The sequence below is a fragment of the Homo sapiens genome, chromosome 13 (assembly GCF_000001405.40).
Source record: "Homo sapiens chromosome 13, GRCh38.p14 Primary Assembly".
NCBI classification, from domain to species: Eukaryota; Metazoa; Chordata; class Mammalia; order Primates; family Hominidae; genus Homo; species Homo sapiens.
In genome coordinates, this window is record NC_000013.11 from 94,228,852 (window position 1) to 94,254,593 (window position 25,742).

Sequence of the window (25,742 nt, forward strand, 5' to 3'; positions counted from 1 at the left end):
CTGTTAACAAGTGTGGGAGGAGTAACCAGGCAGATATAAATGCTGGCCAATGGGGATTACTTACACAGAATGTGCTGAAAATGAGGAGTGTTTCAAGAATTGTTTCCCTGCTGTATTGTTGGAATGCTAAAGTCTAAATATGGTAATGTGAAACACTATCATATCTGGTGGGAACTGGAATATGCTTTATTTTACAATCCCACAGGGGAAAAATATTTTGGCAGTTGGATGAGAATCTGGGAGAATGAAGATTCATGCTGACATCAGTCCGAATTATGCTCATGAAATGATATTCATCTCAAACACAGATGTGTTTGATACATTGTTATTTAACATACATTTAATTATTCCTTTCATTAACTTTTCCTAATTGTTTCTAATATTATTTGCCTTTGGTGGAATAATCTTGTTCTTTTATTATCTCAGAAAGGCAGGATAGGGAATAATTTGATGAGGTGTAAGCTTACTTTCCAACACACACACAACACCTTGGAGGGCCTGGTTATCAACGGCTATTTTATGTAGAAATATCATGAGAATATTTATTGGTGTTTGTTTCAATTTTGGCATCCAACCATTAATATTTTAATTTCCATTTTGCAGTAGCTGTATTAAGCATAATAACCACTTGAAACGTGTAGCCTGAATAGGAAAGAAACTACAGAAGCCAAGGAGTATTTTAATTACAAACTCCACTTCAGGAAAAATGCCAGCAACAAGAGTATGGTTGTGCAAGTATTTAGGGTAGGGTAGACTGCTGCATGAAAAACGTTTGCAGTTGGGTGATCTCCCCCTGCTCAATAACACAAGGTTAGAAGGATAGCCTCATTGACTTACAAACAACCAGACCTGTGCAACCTTGCAGTTCCACTGCCATGTGAAAAGCAGAGATAAAAAGAGTGCTGGGATAATCCAGGTTAAAAGACTTGAATAAAAAAGATGACAGTAACTCACAAACAGAAAAGCATGACTCTTCATCCCAACTCACTTGAAAATCAACACTTTCACAGAAGGCCTCCAAGACTGGATGGGATCTGTTTCAGGATACATTTGGTGACAGATATTCTATGACCTTTTGTGTGAGAGAGAAGATGCCCAAGTTACTATCAGTGGGAAATGAACAGGAAGCCAGGGATGGTGTGGTAGCAGGAAAAGAACTTGAGATTTGGAGTTGGGCAGACAGATTCGTGGGCTGATTTTGCCTCTGAGTGGCTAGACAATTTGGGGCAGATTATTTAGTTTGTCTGAACCTCCGTTTTTTTAATGGTAAAACCATACTTTTTCCTCATGGGGTCACTGGAAGATTTAAACAAGTTACCATATGTAAAGACTGAAAACACTCAGTACCTTCCCTTCCTTATCTAGAGAAAAGGAATTCTGGAACTGCTCTTCTTATTTTATGTGTGAGAAAACTGGTGACTAGAAATGCCCAAGTCCTGCTCCAGGTCACATGGCTGGATTCCCTGTGCCCAGGGGAGGGCTTTCCCATGACCTCCACCCAGCCCCACAGTGGATCTCACACAAAGAAATGGGAGAAGAACAGATCTAACTGGGACAATCTGAGGACCCTCCCCACCATTGGTGTTAAGATTATGGACTTGGCCATGAACAGTCCCATCAGTCCCATCCTTGACTCCTGACACGTGTGCCAGAGACACTCTCCTCACACTCTAGCATTCTCCAAGTGATACCTGGACCATCAAGCCAGGAGCCACTAATGATCATCTAATCCAAGAAGGGTATCTCCTCAGAACAAAACCCATCAGTCTCAGTAGCTGGGCATCCCTTGGCTAACTACTTAAATTCCCTTGACCTAAATGATCAGACTCATCTCAGAGGATTGTTGAGAGTGTTGCAAAAAATGTACCTAAAAGTGTTCAGCATACAGCCTAGCGTATAAATGCATAGCAGATAATAAATATTATTTTTTGAACTCTTACCATTATTGGAGATGACAGTAAGAATAGGTAACATGTATGAGTGTACTCTGTGCCAGACATCATAATAAGCATCTTTCACTTCAATCTTTCCAACAAGACAATGAGGAAGGTGTTATTTACTCATTTTTCAGGTGAAGAGTCTGAAGCCAGAAAGGGTCAGGCTTGGGGGAAGGGAGACAGGGAGATTCTTCTGGACATTGCCTGGCACATAAGGTAGCACGTAGCTACATTAAAAAGAATGTACAGAAGCCTAGCTGTGTCTCCATAGCCATGTTGCTAAGACTTTGGCTGAATTGTTCACTACTAGACCCCTAGAGCCTAGCACAAGGTTTGGTGTATACTAGATGTTCTGCAAAGTTTCATTAATTTGTTGAGTGAGAAAATAATAAACACTGCCGTGTTCACATCATTATGTTGACCCAACAGACAATCTCAGGGACCCTTGGGCTGGTGTAGTCAATCACAAGGGCTATTTGTAGAGACAGCTCCCCGCTGTGAAGCCAAGGAGAATCCAACCATGAAGAGAGAGGAAATATTACTAAGCAGAAAATTAAAAACGATCCTATTGGCTGTTGGCCTTGGCACTGTTTCTGAAGAAGCAAGTTCAGAAACATTTGGCAGTCCGTGTCATCGCCTCTCATAAACCCCAAGAATAAGGAAGGCATCAGAAATAAATTTTTATTTTCTGATTAATTTTCTATAGAAAGGTTTTTGCCCACCAACAAGATACAAAGGGCAACTTAAAAGGCATGAGGTTATTAAAAATCAATGCTAAATGTTGTCATCAGAGGGTTTGCTTATTTTGCTGTTATTAAAAATTCACACAAATTGGGCGAAACATTTTCAGCCTGAAAGAGATCTCGGAAAATGGCTTTCTTATCATTAAAATGCAAGCTAAGCAGAGTGATAGCAAATGATCTTTTCCTATGATCAGTTTTTCCTAATCTTGGGGTCAGAAAAATAAATGTCAGAGGAAATAATAGACTTTATTTAATAAAATAAAATAAAAACAAAATGACCTGGCTATTAAAATGAAAACACAAAAAAAATGTCTGCTTGTGACTATGTGAATAACTGAAGCTTCGTTTTAATAAAAATTTTTAAAAAGTTTTTCGACTCTTTTATTCTGATCAAAAAAGAAAAAGAAAAAGAAAAATCCCAAAGGTCCAAATCGCAACTCTATTTATCTATTGTAAACCAACAAGAGCCGACCATGTTGAGAGAGAAGACAGGAGAAGTGTTAGCTGTGGTGAATAGAGAATCCTTTAAAACAACACCGAAAAATATATTTTCTAAGAAAGCAAAGATCTCTGTTGCAGACATGTTTCTTAACCAAGATATAGCAATAGCTTCTTTAAAATCTACTTCTCATGTACTGACTAACCCATTCATTCCTAAAAAGTATTCCTTTCATATGACCATGTTTAGCTTAGTTCTCACTTTAAATTTAAACAAGGACTAATGGTACTCCAAACTATTTGCTTTCTTTCAGTCTAACCCACTCCTTAAGGAAACGAGCAGGAGAGACATGTCCTGCAATGCCATGGCACGTGCGCACACCCCAGAACACGGAGCAGTGCTTTCATGGTCGCCTGCCACGTCACACACTGGCACTGACAGAAATAGTAACAACACACCCTCTTTGAGACAGTGATTGCTTTAGATTTTTATACAACTTGTTTAAATAGAGGAAATCTAAATTTTTACCAAAGCAATTGCCCCCCTTCAGGAGGTGGGTTTTTTTTGGGGGGGTGGGGCAGGGTGTCAAAGAATGTTTAGTTCAGTACCTTTTCTAGAAGCCAGTACAGCTAAATCTATAACTTTCCTATTTTACATATTTGGTAATTAAAAACCAAGTGTGAAGAGCTTATGGATTTTATTCAACGATGACATATTTTTTTAGATTCTGTAATGGCCCATAAATTTGCATTAATGACCACCTGTTCCAGAAACCTTGGAAACAGGAGGCTGGAAGAACATCCGTGAGTTTTTATGTGTCTCGGATACCTGACTCTGGGCCAAGGTGGAGGCCTTGGAGGAGTAGAAAGGACTCTAGTGACTGGCTGATTGTTACCATTTTTGGCCAAAAGAATAAGTCAGGCACCAGAATGTGTAACCAGGTAATGTAATTATGGTTAATGTAAATGTCACATTTTAAATCCTGTAGGAATTCACAATAGTTCAGGTTTTATAACTTTTTTTTTTTTTTTTTTTTTTTTTTGGTGGGACCAGGAAACATGGAACTGACTTGCACGGGAGGTCAGACTGGCTTAATTTGTATTTCCTTTCAAAGTTGTGTGAGATACAAATATGCACCACAATGTACCCATCACTGTCTTCTTAAAAACTTGTAGGGAAACAAAAATATGAGAAATTGCATCATATTTAAAAGCGCTAGAGGAACTGACTGTATAAAGGAAATTTTTTTGGATGGAGAGAATTATGTAAAGCCCAGCTCTAATGTAGATCTAAAAACAAACAAACAACAATAACAACAAAAAAGACAGGCCTAAGAGGTGCTAAAAAATTGGGAGCCATTAATCTTATTGTCAATAAAGAAGTAACTCATAAGCAAATAGCTCCTAATTTATCTCTTTTCTATGTTTAACCCATTAATACCATCCCCCATTATCTGCTCTTTCACTTTTTTGGTTTCAGTTACCCACAGCCAACTATAGCTTGAAAATATTAAATGGAAAATTCCAGAAATAAACAATGCATACGTTTTAAGTTTCCCACTGTTCTGAATATTGCAGTGAAATCTGGCACCATCCCATTCAGTCCCACGAGGGACATGAATCATCTCTTTGTCCAGCGTCTCCACACTGTCTTCCCTCCCCTGGTGTGAGTCACTTGGTAGCCGCCTTGATTTTCAGATTCGTTGTTTTGGTGTTGAGGTGCTTATGTTCAAGGAACCCTTATATTTCTTAATAATGACCCAAAGGTACAAGAGGAGTGATTTTGGTTTATTGTTATAATTGTTGTATTTTATTCTTAGTTCTTGTTGTTAATCTCTTACTGTGCCTAATGTACATATTATACTTTCTCATAGTTATATATGTACAGAAAAAAACATAGCATATATAGGATTTGGTACTATCCACAGTTTCAGGCATATGCTGAGGGTCTTCGAACATACCCCCCAGGGCTAAGGGGGGACTACTGTAACAGTACGTCTTCTAGCAGAGGACTAAATTTTAGAACAACTGGAAGCACTGGCATTTGAAGTATGAGAAATAGTCAGGGCGAGGTGTTTATTTGTAGGGCAGTAACTCTACTAGATCAAAACCATGGCCTACATAATCTTATTTAGTCACACCTCATTTCCCCTGCAATGCTGGGAGACAGAAGAGACATCTGGGGAAACCGAGGCTCAGATAGGTGATTCAAAGCCTAAATGCTAAAGCCAGTATTAAACCTTATTCTAAAAATCATTCCATTTATCCTTCTGAAGTTTCTGTGAGAAAAGGGTAAGGATGTACTGTGAACTCAGAAGTATTCCATGTTTACAGGTATAACTAAATTCATTTTTATTGTATCTGTTGTATTAATACTAGGGTATCAATAGGCACAAAATTCTCATGGAATCAGACACCAGACCACCTCATGATCACTGGAAGATGTTTCTTTTCTACATGTAATACTGAAGCTAAAAATTAGTTTCTGCTACTGAAAATATGTCTCTGTTGAACAAAAGGAGGCCGTTCTTTTGTTTGCTTTTTTTTTTTTTTTGCAATATCACTTTACTGTGACCCAAGAACTTAAAAAAACAAGTTAATATTATCTTGTCATTCTGATATGTCCAGATAGTTAGATCTCTTTAAAGAACTTCTTGGACCCTTAAAGCTTGTTTTATGAACTATGGAATAAAAATTCTGGTATTGACCTATTAACTCTTTTTTTCCAGTGTTTCAGGAAGTTTCTCTTCCTCCCAGGAATTAACAGGCTATCAACCAGACGCAATAGAAATAAGGATTTTGTGGACAAAAGCTGTGTGTTTTAAAAGTCAGCATATACCACAACATAGATAAATCTTGAGGGCATTATTCTAAGTGATATAAGCAAATCACAAAAAGACAAATACTGCATAATTCCACTTATATGAGTTATGTAAAGTAGTCAAACTCATAGAGACAGTCAAATGGTAGTTGCCAGGAGGTTGGGGAAAAGGGAAATGAGTTGTTCAATGCATAGAGCCTTTTAGTCATGCAAGATGGAAAGTTCTAGAGATCTGTACAGCAATGTGCATAGAGTTAACAAGGCTGTACTGTATGCTTAAAATTGTTAAGGGAGTAAATTTACGTTGGATATTTTTCACCACAATAAGTTAAAAAAAGAAAGACAGCATGATAAATCCTCAGGATACCTGGGCACACCTTCTGAGAACAATGTTGAACTGGAGATCAAAGAGTGAGCTATAAAGCACTACACTCCAGTGGTTCTGATATTTCAAGACCATTTTGAACTCACATCAGGTATAATGAACCAAGGACGGAATTTTTTAACAATCTCTGGGAGCGTCTCTCACAGTTCAACAGGACATTTCAGAATATCCATTCCACAAGCATTCTCCAAAAAAAAGAAAAAAGTACTAACTTTGATTTGTTGCTAAATGCCTACCATCCTCATTGAGCGGCCTTACTTTACCAGGGCCAATTGATCCCTAAGGCTCTGCAGTGTTCCTAGGGAACCTTGATAAACATTATTACCTTGAGCCACAGGGGACATACAAATGAGAAACACTAATTTCTATTTGCAAGAAACTCTGATTAGCAAATGAGGTAGTAGAGTACACATGGATATTTCCTGATTATTTCTCTACCCTATGCCAAAAAATTTTCTGGGACACCAAGACTCAAAAACTTAAATTTACATATTCAAGCTCTCTGAAAAATGTTATACAGCATCCTACCTCCTAATGATTCTTTGAAAATCTACACTGGTCCTTCAACTCTTTGGGTAAAATTGAATCCTTGGGAGAAAGCAGTGATAGTGGCACACAATCATATTAAAACATGTAGAACCAGTCAATTAGTTGCAGATTTGAGATGTTAATAAGATCAGAGATTCGCTGAGAATATTGAAGCTAGAAGACACCTTTGAGGTCACCTTGTCCAATGTCTCCATTACACAGGTGACGAAACTGAGACCCTGAGAACTCTTCTTGTCCAGTATTAATAACAACTAAAGAAGGGATTAATTTCTGCCAAAGTGTTTACGTTAGCTCAACTGTAGTAGCCCCTGGCTGCTTCTTATTAAACTATTAGTTTGGCCTGAAATTTTTCTTGGTTCCTGTTTATGGGGGAGTTTAATAACTGCTATCTGCAGTAATAAGAGATATAATAATGTTTATCTTCTTATTTCCTCTGAGGATCTTGGAATGTGTTTCATCATTAATTAAAGAATCCTCTGAGTCCCCCTATTAGATAAATATTATTAGCCCCATTTATAAAGAAAATGAAATTCTGAGAGATTAGTTGACGGAGCAGCAGCATACCCTGAGTTAATGTTTACAGTGGATGTTCTATAAACCTGTAATCAGCAGGAACTTTGTGATTTCCTCTGCAAGTATTTTAGTCCTTGAACTAAAACTCAGAAGTCGATATTCAGCTATTGCTTTGGACAAGAATTGTGTTAAGAGACAGGAACTAAATATTAAGACTAGGGGGCTTCCAGGTGTATGAGACAGTGCCTGTTTTCAGAACATGTAGAGACATCAAGACAATTGCATAAAATGCTAAAATATCAGGTAAAAATCTGTATTCTAAAAGAAATGCTATGAAGATTGAAGGGAGTAAGAATATAAACCAAGGTGAGGCGATCAGGGAAAACTTTAAAATGAAAGTAACTTTGAGCTGGTTATTTAAAGATACAAAATATACCAGTGGTTAGATTTTGGGGCATTCTTTCATTCATTCTACAAGTATTTCCTTTATTTTCACTTCTTCCTTCTGTAAGTATTTCCTGAGAACATACTACAGGGTGTCGTCTAAACTCTGAGGTAGAAAAAGTGAGGCAGAGAAGGCAAGAATGGAGACAGAGTTCCTCTAACATCCTTGCTTTCCCCCAGGGATATGCAAAGAAAAGCAGAAAGCTTTTTTTTTTTTTTCTCCTGAAAATTTTGGGCATGTAAATAGCCTCAGGCATGTCAAAAACTAGTGAAAAATGAAACTTGACAAGAAGGTTGGAAGCACCTTGTTCACAGGCCTTAAAGGCAAGGAGTCAAGTCATATTGCTCCAAGAGTAATAAACAGGAGGTTAAAAGGACAGGAAACAAGATGCAAGAAGTTAGTGGTTGGCTTTGCTGCCTGGGTAGCAGGATGAGAACTTGTTCCATTATCAGCTGCAGAGGGGCAGGACAAGAAGTGAGCTGAGGTAGAAAAAGACTACAGAAATGGATTAAAATGGAATTGGTACAGAGAAGAGCACTAGGAAAAAGAACCCAATGAATGAAGCAAGGCTTTTCAAGTGCCTGTTTTTTCTTCTTTCCCCCTTTCTTCCTCCCTTCCTTCCTTCTTTCTTTTCTCCATCCTTCCCTTCCTTTCTTCCTTCTCCTCTTCCTTCCATTCTTCCCACCTGTAAATACTTACTGAGTGCCTCCTTTATGACAACTACACCTGTGAAAAACAGCAGATCTTAGACAACAAATAAACAGATAAATAATTAACACATTCAACAGCGGTAAGGTCTCTTTGTAGGTGGGTGGCAGCTTGGATTGGATAGGTAGCAAGGAGCTTTCTGAGAAGGTGATAGCTAAGTGAAATGTAAATGACAAGGAGCCACTCATTGAACAAGGAGACGAAGAGCATTTGCCCTACACAGAGGAACCATATGGTGCAGAGGCCCCAATGTGGGGGCAAGCTAGGAGTGTCTCCATAACAGAACGAAGGCTGGTGTAGTGAACTAGAGTAGAAAAAGGAGATTGTGAATAAAAAAACGTAGGTGGGCTGGATCGTGCAGGGTTTGTAAGCCAGCAGGATTTGTAAGCCAGGGTTATAATGGGAAGCCATTGGAGGGTTTCAGGCAGTGGTGTGAACATGACCTGATTTACATTTCTAAAATAGCAGTCTAGATGTTGCAGAATAATGAGCAAAAATGAAAACAAGGAGCTGAGAAGAGATGCTCTTGCAGTATTCCAGGCAAGAGATTATGCTGGCTCGAACTAAGGAGGTAATCATAGTGATGAAGAGAAGTGAACAGATGCAGGATAGTTTTTGGAAGAGGAATTAGTAGAACTGGAAGATGGATTTCCTGTGAAGGTTGAGGAGAGCAACGAGGTAGATAAACATGCCATTTACCAAGATGGAGGAAGACTGAGGGAGGATCTTTGGGGGATAGAAATAAAGATTCCTTTTTTATCCATTTTAAATTGGAGACGGCTTTTAGATGTCCTTCTATTAATGTCAAGTGGGCATTGGATAAATAGTTCTGGAGTTCGAGGAGAGATCACAAGTAGAAATCTGGATTGGGGAATCATTAGCATAAAGACTATATTTAAGGTCAAGGGTCTGGATGAGATCCCCTCAGAGAGCCTATAGCTAGAAGAGATAATGAGGTCAAGGACAGAGCCCTTGTGTGCTCCACATTCTGAATTTGCTTAGAAGCTGGAGAAAAAAGTAGACTGCACATGAGACCAGAGGTGGAAGAAACACAGGATACATGGTCACCATTGTCTTATTAGATAGAAGGGCACAGTGGGCTTTCACCACGAGGACTAAGGGAGTAGAGTTACTCCATTGGAGGGCACGTTGGCCACTACAGAATTCACCTGGAGGACTCAGACACAGGATAAGTCCCTGAATTTAACAATTATAAGAAGTCTTTTGAGAAAGCAGTTCAATCATATGCTGAATTTTGAAGCCAGATTTTAGGGAGCTTTGGGAATAAGCACCGTGTGAGAAAGTAGAAGCAAAAGATATAAGCGAGGGTCTCCCACAGTTTGGGGCTGACACATGGCAGTGAGGGCGATCCCCACTTAAGGAGAGATGGGTTGAGAAAGGATTAGACTAAAACATGCTTGTAGAGGTAAAGAAAGGAGATTGGGAGAATCTCGATATAAATAAAACTGGGGACGACAGATAAACGTAGATTGCTGAGAAGCTGGGAGGGGTGACTGGAGCAAGGCTGGAAAGCAGAACACAACTTAAAAGGTGGGAAAATGCCTTTTGCAAAGATCATTCATAATGCTATAGTTTAGCCTATGTTTGGCTAAAATAAAGATTGTTTTCACACATTTTACTGCTCTTAAGTTAATAACGTGAATACAACGCAAAACATTTATCACACACCAGATTTTACTAGCTTACAATGTAAGTGGTGGAAGATCTGGGAACAGATTTCAGAATAATTTCATGCCTAGATTCTTCCTCTACCTGTTTCCTCATTTAGGGGGCCCTTCTCGGTTTAATTGTCTCCAGCTGATGATCAATTAAGCAAACTGATTGCAGTTGCATTTGATGGCAGAGCAGCATTGTGAAAAAAACATCATGTTGGAATCTAAGCTATGAAGGGAAAGGTACTAGACAACCCACAGTGTGTCATTGTCACGAGCAAAGGAGGAGTCATTTCCTCTCTACTCCCACACATGTGGTTAAATAATTTGTATTTGAGCATAACTGTTTTTCTGTGACAACTGGAATAGACACCGTCATTGTTAAGAATAATCAAGTCAAGGAAAAATGTAGAGCACCACATGTAGATGATTCTTGGAATGATTTTAGTAGGAAATAGAGGATTTTTAAAACTTTTTTAAAAAATTTCTCATTTTAGATACATTTTAGGGCAAACATTTCAGGTATAGAAAATAAATGCTTCAAAGCACTCTCGGCATTAGAGTCATTATTGATGAAGTCATTATGTGAATTATGAATTTATTCTTGCGAAATGATAGTTTCCTGGGAATCTTACCTCCAAGTTAGGAAAGGCCAAAGTTAAGCGTTGCCTTGCTAGTTTAAGCCAGTTGTTTAGGAATTCTATACAATATCTAGAAACAAAAAGCTAAACATTTTAAGGTATTAAGGCGAGAGTGTTCGGCTCTCAATCCACTCAGCTTCCCTCTTGGAAGATCAGCTCTATTCGCCTTTCAAGTGTCATTTGTGGGGAGATGTGTTGTGCAAAGGAGACTCCTGGGACCAATGGACCCAGTTTTCCTTAGGAAGTGATGCTCACCTACTTTAAAACAGCACTGAATGGAAAATCAATCTTGAAGGCTGAGAGTGAAGCTGAGAGCTTAAACTTGACTCTAGGTATTTGAGGGTGTTCATAGAAAGGGGCCAGCTAATAGCAGAGAGGCATATTTTTGTAAACTGAAGTAGGATGGACCCTCTGGGATCATGAATTACAAAAAAAGTTCCCCCTCTCCTGCCACACTGAAGGGTACAGAACCCAGCTAGCAGAAACTGGGCTGGATTTCACCCCCTCCTCACCTTTGCACAGTACATGAACAGCACAGCCATAGGCAACCGCCCTGGGGCTGACTCTGAGCTCCTCTGGGTAAAGAAGAATGCTGCCTCCTCAGAATCAAACACACAGTATTTGATTACTTTATCAATTTTATGGAACTTGGCATCCTCCAGACACATATTCATAATCAGATTAATATTTTTACCCGAGAGGGCCTCCTTGTCTCCTTCTGGAGACACTCAATGGCCTTAAGGTCTAAAGCCGTAAGGATAAAAGGAGTGGTCATGGATTAATTCATTCATTTAAAAAATAATGATTGAGTGCCTGCTTTTTGCCAGTCACAGCTGTAGAAGTTGGAGAAACAACAGCAACAATGAAAGCAAATCCTTATCCTCTTGGAGTAGATATTCCAGTGTTGGGAGACAGAAAGTAAATAAAATAAAATAAAATAAAATAAAATAAATAAAAGTCATACAGGTAGTATTTCAGAGAGTGATGAATGCACCAGAGGGGAACAGAGCAGTGAACAGCCTAAGAGTGTGGGGGCACAGCAGTGAGGCCAGTGCTGCAGGTGCCGTATAAGCATGAAGGAGAGAGCAGAAGGTGGAATTACAGAGGAAGCAGGTCTTTTAGGCACCTGCAGGAATGGTTTTCCTTTGGGCCAGCTGGGAAGCTCCTGAGGGTATATTGCACAAGGGAAGGACTTGACTAGGTTGACGTCATATTCTTGCTCTTGAGCTGAGTCCACCATACTTGGGAAATGGCAGGATGAACAATGATGGTACTTGAGCTGCATGTTTGTGTGTCCCCAAAATTCATACTAATCCCCCATGGGATGGTATTAGAAGGTGGAGCTTTTGAGATGTAATTAGGTTTAGATGTGGTCATGAGGATGGAGCCCCCAGGATGGCACTGGTGTCCTTAAAAGAGACTAGAGTGCAATCTCTTGGTCACGTGAGGATACAAAGAGAAGATAGCTGCCTACAAGCCAGGGAAAGGTCCTCAGCAGACAGAAGATCTGCCATCACCTTGATCTCAGACTTCCCAGCCTCTAGAACCACAATAAACAAACATTTGTTATTCAAGCCACCTACTTTATGGTATTCTATTCTAGCAGCCTGAACTGACTAAGACACTATGGCTTGGAAACTGATTGTCGGCTTTTTTTGGAATCTGAAAATTGGATTGCATGGCTTTCTGGCATACATTTTTGGTCTTAAGGAAGTCCTGCCTCCATGAGACTGATGATCTTATGGGACTCATTATACATATTTTCACATTTGTAGTGTATATATAATCTAGATGAGTTTTCAGATGCCACATATCTGTGAGCAGAAAAATGGTAATCTTGTCATTGCACAGTGCAGAGATGGTGACAGCAGGTTCTGCATTTTTGTAAATGTCTGGAATTAGCCATCAAAGATGGCCAGAGACTGGTTGTACCCAGAAGCTAAAACAGAAAAAGGAGGGGGCTAGGTTGCCTTGTTTCTACTCTATCTGTATTAACTTCCAAAGAGTAAAAGAAATATGACCAGGCAATGTGAAGAAAACCCTTTTAGATCCCTTCTCAGTGTAAGACAGATTTTGGCTTTATCTCTACCCCTAAATGTGAATGAGTGACTTGAAATGTTGATCACAAATTCTAGACAACGAGATGTAATTTCCTGACCCCTAAGTCTTTGCTTCCTGAATTTCTTTTTTTTTCTTTTTAATGTATTTTTATTCTTTTTTTATTATTATTATGCTTTAAGTTTTAGGGTACATGTGCACAACGTGCAGGTTTGTTACATATGTATACATGTGCCATGTTGCTGTGCTGCACCCATTAACTCGTCATTTACATTAGGTATATCTCCTAATGCTATCCCTCCCCACTCCCCCCACCCCACAACAGGCCCCGGTGTGTGATGTTCCCCTTCCTGTGTCCAAGTGTTCTCATTATTCAATCCCCACCTATGAGTGAGAACATGCGGTGTTTGGTTTTTTGTCCTTGCGATAGTTTACTGAGAATGATGGTTTCCAGCTTCATCCATGTCCCTACAAAGGACATGAAGTCATCCTTTTTTATGGCTGAATATAGGAACACTTTTACACTGTTGGTGGGACTGTAAACTAGTTCAATCATTATGGAAGTCAGTGTGGCGATTCCTCAGGGATCTAGAACTAGAAATGCCATTTGACCCAGCCATCCCAGTACTGAGTATATACCCAAAGGATTATAAATCATGCTGCTATAAAGACACATGCACACGTATGTTTATTGTGGCACTATTCACAATAGCAAAGACTTGGAACCAACCCAAATGTCCATCAGTGATAGACTGGATTAAGAAAATGTGGCACATATACACCATGGAATACTATGCTTCCTGAATTTCAAGCAGAAATCAGACCATTCATTTTCAGCAGCCTTAATGTGATGCACACTAAAGCTGGCTCCTGTGTTTAGGGATTACAGTGGGTTGGATTCCTTCACAAAAGTAGCCATTAGTCAAGACTAAAATGAGTGAAATCTGGAAGGAGTTAATTACAAGTGATCATTTTGTGGGGTTGTGATTCATATAACACAATTTCATTTGACACTAGGAGAAAGAACTCTGAAAGAGTGGTTGGAAGATTTAATAGCAATATTTTACACAGTCTGTTGGGTTTGTAGTATGTAAGTTTCCAAGAAGCTACACAAAATCCTATTGGTTTGTGTCATATACCTTTATTTAACTTTAGAAGGAATCATAATCCATGCTAACTAAATCTAAAAAAAAAAAAAAGTACCACTTGTGGAATGCCCAGGCACATTTCAACTACATGAGTTTTAATTGTCAGAGGATTATATATCCAAGAGAATTGATCTCCATATACAGCTGACAGTGCCATGGCTATTAATGATGGAATGACATCTTTGGAAAGCCCTGACTTCATCTCTTCCAGGGATGCTTTATCTTATATTTCCATATCAATTTCTGTGGTTAGCACCTTTATGCTAACTTGAAAACAAATCACATGTAAAATAAAATTAGAATGACTAATACTGATTTAAAATAAAGCAACCCTGTTTTTCAGTTTCAACAGGCCTTACATCTACAAATCTGCCACCAAATTTTAAAATTATGTACATTCTCAGGGAAAACTAAGGACTGGCAGTGAATTGGAACAAGACTGAGATGATGTCTTTTGTGTACTGTAACACTTCAAAATCATTGCTTCCAGAAAAAAAATCACAGAGGCTTTTAATATTCATAAAGATAGAAACAGGTGTTTGAACAGAACTTGAGCCACCTTTGACAGGAGCACAATCAGTTTGTCTGAAAGGGTCTTCATTTTCCCTGTCACTCACTGGCAGGACTGGGAACATCAAAACAGTTATACTCCTGAGCTTTCACTACCTGTTTCAAAGGATTATACTTGACATTTCTAATTTTTCCCCAATCATTAAACTCTGTCCTCCCCCTTTTAAAACTGCATGATTTTGTTAGAAAATCAAAGCAGGCAGAAGAATACATTAGTGCTCAATCCTCATGGACTCTGTGCTGACCTCATTGCTTTTTATGTCTACCAGTAGACCACACAAACTATTTTTGGTTCATCATTTATCCTGTGCAGACAGATAGCTGCTAGTCTACCTCAGAACACTATTTAGCCAGATGAGGGTAAGTAACAAACTGCATTTTAGATGTAAATGCTGTGCCATGTAGGCTGGACAGGATGCTTTCTCTTTCTTTGCCTCAGTTTCCTTCTCACTTTGCAGAGAGGTAAAGCTGCCCCTATAAATGGATGCGACTTCCATGACTGAACCTTATGATTATTTTCTAAAAAGTAAAAGCACTTATTATTTTGTCCTCTCAAAAAAGGAAAGACAAGATAAATGTTTAAGGAACTACTTAGGTAATTGTAGGTAACTTTACATGTTACTATTTTATTCCTTATTTCCTCTCCTTGCATATTTGGGCAAGTTAGAGATCTATTGTGTGCCAGGGGGCAAAGAGGAAGAATACAAATGATTTATCTGTGCTGTGCCAAGTCAGAGTATCTAAAAACCGCATTTGATCATTTTGGGGCCAGCACGTAACTCCGCAAAGCTTAATTATGTCCGCATTATTTTGATAAGAAGTGGCTTTAGGAAAACAATAGGAAGACATTGTCACTGGTTGGCTCCTGTGTGACCTCTGTCAAGGATCATACATGTCTAGCCTCAGTTTCACCACCTGTGAAGTTAAGGATTTGGGCACTATCTCAAGGTTTCCATCTCGAACTAAATGTCTATTACACAATAGATCTATAACTTGACCAAATATGCAAGGAGAGGAAATAAGGAATAAAATACTAACATGTAAAATTACCTGTGATGTCTAAGAAATTCCTTAAACATTTATTTTGTCTTTCTTTTTTTGGAAGGACAAAATAATAAGTGGTTTTACTTTTTAAAAAAATAGTCATAAGGTTAAATCATGGAAGTCACATCCATTTATATGAGAGATGAGAATAAAAGATGAAGCTTTAGGACACTGAAGTCATTGACAGTTTTAAGTGAAGGCAGAGTAGCCATGTGATTTTTTTTAAATATGAAATTTTACCCTTTTGCTGAAAAGAGGCAGAATGTGAGAGGGGGATGTAGGGAATGTGGGAAATACAGTTAGTCATGGAATTATTAGGATCATATTTGTAGGAGTCTTGCAAGTCATATTTTTATTTATTTATTTTTAAATCTTATTTTGTATATTTAAAATATACAGCATGATGTTACAAGATACATGTAGTAAAATGGTTACTATATAGTGGAACAAATAAACACAGCTACCATCTCACATCTTCACTTATTCCCTGCCTACCCCATGGTGTGTGCAGACATAGTCTCCTCATTTAGCAAAAATTCTGAATATACTGTGATTTACTGTGGTCTTCATATTGTACATTAGACCTTTTGACTTGTTCATCCTACATATTTGCTACTTTGTATCCTTTGACCTGTATCTCCCCACTTCCTCTTCCCAGCCCAATCCTGGTAACTACTGTTTTATTCTCTATCTCTATATATTTGGCATTCATTTATTTATTTTTTAGATGGTACATATAAATGAGATCATGCAGCCTGGTGTGGTGGCTCATGCTTGTAATCTCAGTGCTTTGGGAGGTTGAGGCGGGAGAATTTCATGAGGTGAGGAGTTTGAGACCAAACTGGGTAACATAGCAAGACTCCACTCTATATAAAATAAAAAAAAAAATTTAAAAGCTAGCCAGGTAAGGTGGCACATTCCTATAGTCCCAGCTACTTGGGAAGCTAAGGCAGGAGGATTGCCAGAGCCCAGGAGTTAGAGGTGGCAGTGAATTGTGATCATGCTACTGCACTCCAGCCTGGGCAAGAGAGTAAGACCCTCCCTGTCTCTAAAAAATAAAAAAATAAAAAGTGAGATCATGCAATAATTTTCTTTCTATATCTGGCTTATTTTGCTTAATATAATGTCCTCTAGGTCAATCCGTGTTGTGGCAAATGGCAAGATCTCCTTTTTTAAGGCTGAATAATATTTGTGTGTATGTGTGTGTGTGTGTCTGTGTGTGTGTGACAGTTTCTTTATCCATTCATCCACTGATGGACACCTAGTGTGTTTCCATATCTTGGCTATTCTAAATAATGCTGTAGTGAACATGGGATTGCAGATACCTTTGTGAGGTGATTATTTTATTTATACACAGAAGAGGAATTGCTACAACATATGATAATTCTATTTTAATTTTCTTTAGGAACCTCCATATTGTTTCCTATAATGGCTGCACCAATCTACTTTCCCACTAACAGTGGGCAAGGGTTTCCTTTTCTCCGCACCCTTGACAACACTTGGGTCTTGTCTTTTTTATAGTAGACATTCTAACGGATATGAGGTGGTATCTCATAGCAGTTTTTGTTTTCATTTTCCTGATGATTAGGGATCTTGTGTATCTTTTTATGTGCCTGATGGCCATTTTTATGTCAAATCTATAGAAATGTGTATTCAAGTCCTTTGCATATTTTTCCATGGAGTTTATATTTTCTTGTTACTGAATTGTATTGGCTCTTTATAAATCTTGGATATTAAGCCCTTATCTGATATATGGTTTGTAAATATTTTTTCTCAACCTGTAGGTTGTCTTTTCATTTTGATTGTTTTCTTTACAGTGTATAAGGTTTTTAGTTTGATGCAGTCCCACATATTTATTTTTGCTTTTGTAGCCTAAGATTTTGGTGTGACATTCAAGACATCATTGCCAAAGCCAGTGTCAAGGAGCTTTTTCCCTATGTTTTGTCCTAGGAGTTCCATTGTTTCAGATCTTACATTTCAGACTTTTATTAATTCCAAGTTGATTTTTATGCATGGCATAAGATAAGGGTCCAATTTCCTTCTTTGGTATGTATAAATCCAGTTTTCCCAGTATCATTTATCAAGGAGACTCTACTTTCTCCATTGTGTCTTCTTGGTGCCCTTGTTGAAAAGTAGTTGATTATATATGTTTAAATTTATTTCTGGTGTCTCTATTCTGTTCCACTGGTCTATGTGTCTGTTTTCATGTCAGTGCCATACTGTTTTCATTACTATAGCTTTGTAATATAATTTAAAATCAGGAGGAAGTGTGATGCCTCCAACTTTGGGTTTTTTTTCTCTTTCACAGAATCGTTGTGGCTATTTAGGGTCTTTTGTGGTTCTATATGAATTTTAGGATTGTTTTTTCTATTTCTTTGAAGAGTGTCATTGGGATTTTGATAGAGATTATATTGCTTTAAGCAGTATGGACATTTTAACAATATTAATTGTTCCAATCCATGAGCATCGAATATCTTTTCATTTATTTGTGTCCTCTTCAATTTCTTTCATCAATGTTTTATGGGGTTTAATGTACAGGTCTTTTACCTCCTTGGTTAAACTTATTCCTAAGGTATTTTTATGCTGCCATAAATGGGATTTTTTAAAAAATTTACTTTCCAGATAGGTCATTGTTTGTGTATTAAAATGTCATAGATTTTCATTTTTATTTTAAATCTTACAACTTGACTGAATTAATTTATTAGATGTAATAGTTGTTTGGTGGAGTCTTTAGGTTTTTCTACATATAGGATCACATTATCTGCAGATACAAATAATTTTACTTATTCCTTCCTGATTTAGATACCTTTCATTTCTTTTCTCTTGCCTCTTTGCTCTTCATAGTACTTCTGGGACTATGTTGAATGGAATTGGCTAAAGCGGGCATCCTGGCCTTGTACCTGCTCTTAGAGGAAAGGCTTTCAGTTTCTCCCTCTTGATTATGATGTTAGCCGTAGATTTTGCATAAATGGGTCTTTATAATGTCAAGGAACTTTTCTTCTATACCTAAACTGTCAAGAATTATTATCAAAAAAGTATGTTGAACTTTGTTACATATTTTTTCTGTGTCCATTGATATGATCAAGTGGTTTTTGTCATTCAGTCTGTTAATGCAATGTATAACATTAATTGATTTGCATATGTTAAGCCAGCCTTGCATGTTTGGGGGTAAATCCTACTTAATCATGATGTATAATCATTTTGATGTGCTGTTGAATTCAATTTCCTAATACTGTAATGAGAATTTTTGTATCAGTGCTCATCAGAGATATTGGCCTGTTGTTTTCTTTTCTTTTTTTCTTTTCTTCTTTTTTTAAAGAGATGGGGGTCTCGCTGTTTTGCCCAGGGTAGAGTGCAGTGGCTGTTCACAGGTACAAACACAGTGCATTGCAGCCTTAAACTTCTGGGCTCAAGCAGTCCTCCCACCTCAGCCTCCCAAGTAGCTGAGGCTACAGGTACATGCCACTGTGCCCAGCTTTGTAATTTTCTTTTCTTATGGTGTCTTTGTCTGAGTTAGGTATCAAGGTGATGCTGGCCTCAAAAAATGTGCTAGGAAACATTCCCTCCAGCTCTATTTCTGAAAACATGTGGGAAGTACATTCGTCATGGAATTATTAGGATCATAGTTGTAGAAGCCTTAAGAGTCATGTCTTTACAAGCCATTGGTAATGAAATTTGCATTTTCCCTCAAAAAATTTTCAGTCAGCTCCCAATTCAATTTGCCTGTGACACTGATTTCTCTGTCCTCACCTCCTGTTCTGACAGCAACATCTACGTTTGGATGAATGCTTCCAAATTTGGTTAAATTGTTTGCAGAGATTTTTAAAGTACTTAAGAAATTTACTTTGACTTGACATTTGAATTAGAGATGAGATAAAAATTTAAAGTAACCAACATCATAGAACCTTATGTCCCTATTTCACTAGCCTTCTTTTTCCCTGTATAATATGGCCAATGAATAAAAACCTCAAATCTTATCATTCTTATTATGCATTTAAAATTTCCCATAAATATCACCCAAGAACCTGAATGCCAAAAATAAGTATGCAATGCCTTCTCAAATAATACACATGTGACCTTCATATAGGACCCTCTAGTCACCAAAAAAATTTCCATACAACTGCTGATATCCCCATGACCATTTCAGGCTGAGAGAGAGAGAGAGAGAGAGAGGTTTATAAATTATTTTGACTCAAAACCCCCAAAGTAGAAACATGCTCACACACATCGCCAGCCTGTTACTTAGAAACTAGCACCTCAGGACATAGGGATATTGAAGTACTATTGAATCCACTTTCCTCAGCTACCACCTGTGAATTATGGCTGGCAGCAGGAGTTTTATGATACTATTGTAAAAGTAATATACCTCTTAAATGGCAATTTACTAAGTTGCTGATGAAATGCATTGCAAATATGTTAGTTTCAGGGTGGTTAGGAAAATTAACCGCTGCATATTTTCCATATTGTCATATATGCCAACATGCTCAGAGAATCAGGAGCAGCTTTCTGGGAAAGCTGTTTAAATGTAACATATGGCCAGTTAGTCACTTGGTTAGAACATGAGGTTGATAAGGCCAAAGCTTTAGGGAAATCACCTGAGGCTGTTCTTTTAAAAGTAGTCTCAGCAACTGTATCCCAAAACCCTATAAAATGTTCCCTTAACCTCACACTTTTCATTGTGCTTCCTATCTAATTTTCTATCCTATCGATTTGATCCCATACCCTGCTCCTCAGCATAGGCTGATAACAATAGAGTGTAATCACACATCATTAGACCTCAGATTACATTTTGAAGTGATCCCCAATAAATCTTGAGCCACAAAACAATCATACAAAAGAGAGACTCAAAGGGATAGGTGAGTGAATATAAATTTGGAAACTGGTGTTTCATTAAGTTTGTAGAGGCTTATCCTGGACAAAGATCTGTGCTTATTTGTATGACCCCCTAAGATATCTTTTATATTAACAGACACTTGCATAGATTTTCACAGTTTAAAAAGCTGTTTAGATTAATCATTTCATCTAACCATCACAAAACCCCTCTGAAAAGAGGAGAATGTTATTATCCAAATTTTATGGAGGAAAAAACAAAAGCTAATGATCCAGCTTGTGAGTAATGGAATTAGAATTTGACTCCTCATACCAACCCCATCATGGAAACCAGGCTTTGACCACAATACAGGTCCCCTGGAGTGAATGAACAGACTAAAACAAACAGGAGTAGTGAAAGTGACCTGCAGAACACTTAAAACAGAACAGCGTTTGACAAGCTTGATGGCCCAATGATTTGAATCTCTTCTCTAAACAATGTTAGAGCACAGATAGGAGGTAAGTTGCAATTTGCACCTCAAGGATGCTGAGGCTGCATCCCAAGTTAGTAGAAAAGAGTGCAGTGATAAATTCGAGATGTCTGCCATGCGGACAGGAAATGTCTAGTGGCAACACATATTTGCTCTTCCTATATTAAAGAATCTGTCATTTTATAAAACATACTTGGGTTTTATGATGAGAAGCAACATAGATCAATAAGTCGACAAGCCTTTGTTAAGCATTAATAAATGCCAAGCACTATATTAAGCACTGTGGATGAACACCATGGAGATTAAGAGAAAGTCTTTGCGTATATAATTTACAATTCAATCTGGGAAATAAATTGAATGTGCAGCAAACACTTTAATTTTAATCTTTTGATACTGATTGTAAACACAAGGCAGATTCATAAAGGGACAAATCACACCAGGAGTCCATCTCTGTGAAATGTAACATCTTTTGAAGGGAATATCAAGAGATCAAATACAGTTGTGGAAAAGGCCTTAATAGAAGGTCTGTGTAGTTTGAGTGCTGTGTTTTCTTACATTTATTTCACACCATGTGGAAATATTTTATCAATGGTCAATTACAGCCAAAGAGCGGTTAAATATTTTGAATCACTACTGTATTTGCTTATCTGAAATTATGCTCACATGCATGTCTTTAGCAATTATCTTAACTCTATAATTGTGATTTTAGTTATAATTAGAATGGACAAGAAGTAAATAATGAAAGCTCCCCAAATATCCTTTTCTCCCAATAGAAGTAGAAAAAGTAAAACTGCAAACAAAACTACCAGTTTCCTGAAGGAGACTTGATTACAACTCCCCTGTGAGAAAAACAATGGAAAGGTTGGGTTTTCTTTCAAAATAATCTGGGAATGGGGAAGTTGGATATGGAGAGGTGGCAGTGGGGTTGTAGATAAAACAAGATTGGCCGTGAGTGGGTAATTGATTAAGCTGGGTGAAGGTACATGACAATTCATTATACTGCTGGCTTGACTTTTGTATATATTTGAAATTTGTCATAAAATTGTTCTTAAATTCCTCTTAAAGGTGCAAGAGTAATTTAAAGTTTCAGACATAGAAGGGATTTTCGACATTGATGCAGAAGGAAAAGGAGAAAATATTTAAAACCATGTTAAGTAAATAGGGGAGATGGAATTGCCTGACCAAGAAGTATAGAACTTGTTCAAATTAATAGCAAAGACATGGAACCAACCCAAATGCCCATCAATGATACACTGGATAAAGAAATGTGGTACATATACACCATAGAATACTATGCAGCCATAAAAAGGAATGAGGTCATGTCCTTTGCAGCAACATGGATGAAACCAAAAGCCATCATCCTCAGCAAACTAACACAGGAACAGAAAACCAAACACCATGTTCTCATTCATAAGTGGGAGTTGAACAATTAGAGCACATGGATATAAGGAGGGAAACACACACCAGGGCCAGGCAGGGGGTGGGGGGCAAAGCGGGGGAGAGCATTAGGACAAATACTTAATGTATGCAAGGCTTAAAACCTAGATGACGGGTTGATAGGTGTAGAAAACGACCATGGCACACATATACCTATGTAACAAACCTGCACGTTCTGCACTTGTATCCCAGAACTTAAAGGAAAAAAAAAAAAACACGGACTGGTTAGTTTGCCAGCAGAATTGAGAAAGACTATACAAAGCCCCCAAATCCCAGAACTTGTGGGTTTGAAAAGTGAAATTGTTTTTCACCTTATTATTTTATCAGTCTCAGGACAAAGATTAATTAAGGGTGCCGTTGTCACGTCCTTTGTTACAACTTGTGAAAATAACTGAAGTGGTGCCTTGCTGTTCTTTTCAGCTGAATAAAGTGTTCCTAGAAAGCTAAAAGGCAAAAAAAAAAACAAAAACAAAACAAACTGTTGCAAAATTTGGATGAAGGGAAAAATCAGAGCTAAGGGATGCTATCTTTTTTTTTCACCACCAATTGTCTCATGGATGTACGTTTATCATTGATTTGGTGTAACAGGCTCTTTTGGATGCTATAATTTCTCATCTGTCTCCTGCTGCAAAATCCATCGACTATGCCTGTAGCTAGGTCTACATCACAGCTGTGAAACATTAATCTCAAGGACACATTCTTCATCCCTGGCCTGGCTGATGCATGCTGTCTAGTTAGTTCCCCAGTAGGCTCTGGCTTCTTTCCCGATGTTCTCCTGGCACCGCTAACAACTGTGGAACTCCTGTCATTCTAGAGATGAGACTGCTGTAATGCTCCTTGGGTGGCCTTCAATGTCCCATACTTATTTCCTCTCACTTCCCTGATCCTAAGAGGGATTTGTCACCCAGGTGTCTGGAATCAAGGCTCTTCTGTGACTTTGTTATATAAAACCTTGATTTAGAAGCAGAACTGTTCATCATACTGCTTTTGTGAATGTGTCCTTTATGAGTTCTTTGCAAAGCCCTCCATACTGGCTGCTAAACAGTTTATTAATTATGATATTGAGTAATAAGATTGTTCGACGACCAGGTCATGCATAAAAGCCCAACTTCTTGGCTCTGGTGATGTCTGTTTTTGTTAGGCTGGCTCTCATATTTATTTTGTCATGATTACGCAATAAAAGGGGATTTTTATTATGTGCCCCCATGCTGGTTAAGCCTTCACTAAAGCTAAACTAATAGGAAGCTGTGTATGTCGGATAATGGCGATTTCAATGCTGAAATTGATGGCGAAATAAGACACAAGTTGTAGAGTACTGCTTTTTGCTGCTCTCCCCTGTACCCACCACCACCAACAACAACAAAAGTTGTCTCTTAGTGTGTGTTATCTTTAGTATTAATCATGAGGATAGCTTATATGTTTATAAATTGAATGATGGAATTTCAAGAAATTTTAAAAATGCAGACTTTCTTTTGTCCCAGAACAACCACAGGGCTGTAAGTCCAAAAGCCATAAATGATAGGGCAAGTGTAAATGGACTGTGATGAGAGGAAAAATGCAACTAAAATGGATAGAAATGGGACTCAAGGATATGATAGGCTCTCTAGAAACCCCAAGCCTGCTGTTTCCAGTGAAAGATAATTAGAGTTTTCTGGGGGAGGGGGATGGCTGATAAAGGGACATCCAGAATAAAAAAGAAAAAAAAAAAAAAGCAGTTTTCTGAAGGAAAAGCTTCAGTAAAGTTTAGACTGGTGTCAGGAATGATAAGAGGCCAAGAAGCTCAAGGGAATTCAGCGATTCTTTCTGCAAATGCTGGAAAAACTCCCTCCTGTGAATCTCCAGAGGTATGTAGAGAGTATATGTAAGAAATAATGCATTATATCTGCACACAGTGTATGTTCAACATATAATCTCTTCCACACTTACAGAAAATTACTTTCCGATGCTCACTAAATGAGAAGGGTTACAAGAGATAAGAGGGTGGTCTGCGTTCCCAAGGCAGCTGCTGGGAAAAGAAGGGTGTTATTTAAAATGATTGTAAGTGACTATCTTCCTAGATTGTACATTGTGCCCCCTTCTCCAGTTGATTCTCTATAACCTAGATAGTCAAAGGCAATACTGACATTGAGAACTGCCCTGTAATAATACTGCGTTTATCTCAACGGTTCTTCTTTTTTTTATTTAATAAGAGAGGAGTTTCATGAATAAAAACAAAGCTATCATGATGTCAAAATAATATTCTTTGCACCCATGAGTTGAGAAAATAACAGACTAAAGAGGCCTTTTTGCTTTTTAAGATGTGGGAGTCTTTGTGAGCTTCCCTGTTCCCAAGATGAATCTGTAATCTTGGTACAAACTGCTGAGTGGGTGTGTTTTCGATCATAGAAAACTTTTCTTATGTATCTGGAGAGTCATGGTAGTCTTACTACATCTGGTTAGTCATATTCCCCCTCCAATCTTCGTACAAAAGAAACCCAAGACTAGATCAGGGCTTGTGATGATGGCAAAATGATATCTTACTCTTTAAGTGCTGCATTTGATCAACATGTGTCATTAATCTCTCCTTCCTGTTTGTGACAGTAAATGACGGAACACTTTATCAATTCTTCTTTCAATTAGATTGATGTATGTACATTCCTTGAATTTTAAAGGTCATTAATTTGCACATTAGTCTCTTAGGTTGGTAGCACACAGATTGATGTATTGATGATTTAGTCTTTCATTGATCCTATATCATCTTTAGCACCATGAGCCATGAGTGCTGTTTCCTTCCCAACCATGACACAATGAGTGAAAATGCATTAATGTTTACAAAGAAATAAAGAACCTGGCTCTTGACCCTTGTAGAGCATTTTAATGGCCCTGGATTAAAATGATTATAAAATGTATCGAGTCATATTCTTAAAGTGCCTTTGGCATGTACTGGCCTTTCTTCCTGAGCTGTAGGTAATAGCTATAGCATCCAACAAAAAATTGCCAAAAAGCCTATGACCTTCCATTTGCAGTGATACTTCCAAGTAAGTAAGGACTTTATGAAGTTATTTTCAAAGTACTTCATTGAAGAAATGTTTCCCTAGTCATCTGGATTGAGATTTTGTTTGCCTCTACCTTTGATATATCATACCCTGTTGAATTATTCAGTGTGGGTCAAAGTAACATTAAGCTTCTTACAAATGCAATATTCCAAACATATCCCAGCATTTTACTTTATCACCATCCATAGAATAAACCACACGCACCTTATCTGTGCTACAAACATACTTAATATAATGATAATAATAAAAATAATAAAAGTGTAATAACCTTAAGAAACAGTTGATTGATGTCATTGA

At 37.9% G+C, this 25,742-nt stretch overlaps 1 protein-coding gene across 4 annotated transcripts in view, besides 1 other annotated feature; it reads left to right on the forward strand.

Annotated features, from left to right (window-relative positions):
- Window positions 1–25,742, forward strand: part of GPC6 (glypican 6) — a 1,191,492-nt gene that overhangs the window by 1,012,323 nt on the left and 153,427 nt on the right. The gene's annotated exons all lie outside the window — the stretch shown is intronic.
- Window positions 20,594–21,191: an enhancer, noted in NCBI's record as "OCT4-NANOG hESC enhancer chr13:94901699-94902296 (GRCh37/hg19 assembly coordinates)". NCBI's record gives its function as "activates a minimal SCP1, AML or CMV promoter by ChIP-STARR-seq in naive H9 embryonic stem cells {active_cell/tissue: H9 hESC(naive)}" and the evidence as "EXISTENCE:reporter gene assay evidence [ECO:0000049][PMID:30033119]".